Here is a 3162-nt window from a genome sequence, read left to right on the forward strand (position 1 = left end):
CTTTATGTTTAAAGTGAAACTGCTAAGTGAGTGGATCAAGGTATAAGGCAAAGGGGTCTGAGTTGGAATAGCGCATATTGAATATAGACAGCAAGAAAATGCTGAGTGCCAAAATGTCCATTTCAAGAAGATTGTGTTGAATGGGGCAAAAGCTGTGCCGTATTTGATGATTCCCCACACACAGTCACTTGAACTAAAAACCAGTCTGTTCATCCTTTGTGTATCTGGAGAATAAAATTGAGAAGCTGTGGAGACATGTCCTAATTGAAGTCTTCAGGAACAAAAGCTGAAACATGGTTGAATGTTTTTCACAGGCTCTACATGAGGTTTATAGCACAGACCTGTCATAGTCACTGGCTCAGGCTGGAAGGCTCACTCAAGATGTAAGGTGGCCACGTTTTCAACCTGAGAATATTCTGTTGTCCAAATGGAACCTTCTGCTGGGACAATGAACAAATCCCTATGTGTGGCTTGGAGAATTCTTTTTCAAAAGGTTAGTACCAATTTTCTGTTAGAAGTGGAGTGGGCAGCACTGTGTGTGGTAAGAAGTTTATGGTTTTGTCAAGGCATTTAATGAGATAAGTTGAGTCAATTTATGGTTTATTTGGGTACTTGATTATGTGGCCCGTGCTACCTGGTATTTATGTAACCTGTGAGAGATCCTGGTGTAATCTGTGTGGCACAGAAGTGGGAGTTAAACCTCAATTTTTGGCCTCTATTAACTCAGTCTGTAATGCTGTTCCCCTTGTCACCATCAGAAGCCCTGCATCTCAACTCACAAATATTTTCTTAGCTTCAGACTTGGTGAGTATGAACAACTGTCATTTCTTAAAGACAGAATGTTCTTCTCTCTCAAACCAAGTGAGAATGAACTGCTGATGACTGCCCTGGGTGTTTTAATCAGGACGGTAAGCTCTGAAATTACTCTCTGGGTCATTGTCACCCACTCTCTCTTTTGCCAAGTTAATTTTTCTTCATTAAAACAAGAACTGTCCGGAAAAAAATTTAAATTTTTCCTAAATGAAAACCAGTAAAAAAGCTGAAGCCAAAAATTGTTGGCAATCTTCGTGCTGAATTATGCAGTCTGCACATTGCAGGCAGCCTGTGGGTCCTGAGGCTGTCACAAATAACAGGGGAATGTGGCTCTTTCTCCCAACAGGAAGAGCCTCTGCCCAGTGGTCTGGGCCCTGGGCCATGGCTGAACTTTACTGCTGCTTCCAAGGAAAACTTTCTGTTTTACCCACACATGAAATGGTTATGATGTTGAGAATAACAATTTACTAACTTACTTTTTCTAAGTGTGAAGCAGCCTGTCTCTTCTTAGGTGCATAAACTCTATCTTTATTCCTCAGCATTCACAATGGCAAATGCTGTTCTGTGTGCCACTGCTCCCTCTTGGTGCTCCTCCTCTGCCTCCAGCACTCCTGTGTACGGAGTGTTTATATGCTGCTGTGGCTTCCCAAGCTCCTTCTCAGGCTCAGGCCTCTGGGCAGAGCCTTCTTGTAGTGTTCACACTGTATTTCCTTCCATCCTTTCTTGCATTTCTGTGCACTCAGGTCCTGGTCCAAGAGCTGTGTAATCTTCTTGTGATGAGTTAGATCTTTATTATGCATTAGGCATTAATTACAGCTTATAGCTTAAAGTGAGTAATGGTTTAGTCAATAATTACAGCTTATAGCTTAAAGTGAGTCATGGTTTAGTCAAATGACAAATGTGCATTATAACAATGTTCTTCAATACCTTCAATCCCATTAAAAAATTTGGTCGTGACCTATTCGTCGCATTATTTTCCATAATTCTTCATTCTCAGAGCTAAGAACTCATTTTTGCAGCCTCAGCCTGGCTTCATTCTCTGAGACCAACCTTGTCAAGGGCAGGTAGTGAGTAAGTAAGATCAAGAAATTCAGCTCTAACTAAACCTTGTGCTTTCTGCTCTGGGCTTACAGTCTACTGCTAGCAACTGGATTCCTGCTTTGCTCTGAGACTCAATACTCCCAAATGCTCCTGATTCAGGGGCAGTCAGGTAATAGTAGAGTAACTCCAAAGGAGTGACTAACAGTGGGAATTCTGGGGCAAAGGGTGTGGGGACATTTTAGGCTTTGGGTGAGAGGGCAGAGCAGGTTCCAGGACTCTTCAATCAAACCACAAAAAAGGCTGCTTTCTCTCACCTGTCTTTTAGGTTGATGCTGCCCACAGTGAGCCTGGCTAAACAGAACTCTGCTGTTCTCAGGAACATTTTTTCCTGTCATGAGCATCCCCCTTCAGCAGGAACGCTTTGCTTTGTTTAGTTGTTTCATTATCATATCATGCACTGTCTCAGAGTAGACATAAGGGTCATACTACAGATTGTTCCCCACAGTATGTGAAAAAAATTAGGATTTTACATAGTTAAATAAATGAATTAGACATTTCCTGAACCAATAAAGTCTAGGTGGCCATCATAGTATTTTGTTTTCCATGTGCCTGATACAAACCATTCCCTTTGGTTTGTGTAATGCCAGGCTCAAGGACTTTTTGCCTATAATGGTACAGGACAGCCTTGATTACACCTGAAGGATTCTTTTCTTTCTTTTTCTTTAAAATGAAATTTCATATGAGGACCAAAATCAACATGTTACAGTGTAAAAAATTCAAAATTTGTTAGATGCAAAATTTCAGGTTGCAAAATTTTGCATACAGAATGACTTCAGCAATGTAAAATATACACATAGGTTGAAAACTCCTAAATATGGTTATCATGGGATAGTAAGCCTATAGGTGATTTAGATCTTCTTCATATTAATCTCTATTTCCAAACATTCTAGAACAGGTTTACGACAAGAAAGAAAATAAATGTTGCCTAAAAATAAAAAGCACTGATTCTGGATTTATGAGAACTTTATTCTATAGTAAAAGTGTGGAATAAATATAAAGCATGCCGATTCCAATCAGGCTATTGTGAGAGTCAAGTGAGACAATGGGTGCAAAAGCACTGTAAAAAATGTGAATTATAGAGGACCACTCAAATATTCCCACAGCATTGGGTAACAAAGTCAGAGGTGACTCCACCACTTACCCAACTGCCCCTGGATCAGGGACATGTAAGAGTATTGAGTCTCAGAGCAAAGTAGTAATCTAGTTGCTAGAAGTAGACTGTCAGTCCAGAGCAGAAAGCACACGAGG

General features: G+C 40.5%; 1 annotated feature.

Moving 5' to 3' along the window:
- Positions 1191 to 2390: an enhancer, noted in NCBI's record as "BRD4-independent group 4 enhancer chr1:118881859-118883058 (GRCh37/hg19 assembly coordinates)". NCBI's record gives its function as "activates an origin of replication core promoter dependent on BRD2, P300/CBP, MED14 and CDK7 cofactors, and independent of BRD4, by STARR-seq in HCT116 cells {active_cell/tissue: HCT116}" and the evidence as "EXISTENCE:reporter gene assay evidence [ECO:0000049][PMID:35650434]".

The sequence above is a fragment of the Homo sapiens genome, chromosome 1 (assembly GCF_000001405.40).
Source record: "Homo sapiens chromosome 1, GRCh38.p14 Primary Assembly".
In the NCBI taxonomy this organism is placed as follows: Eukaryota; Metazoa; Chordata; class Mammalia; order Primates; family Hominidae; genus Homo; species Homo sapiens.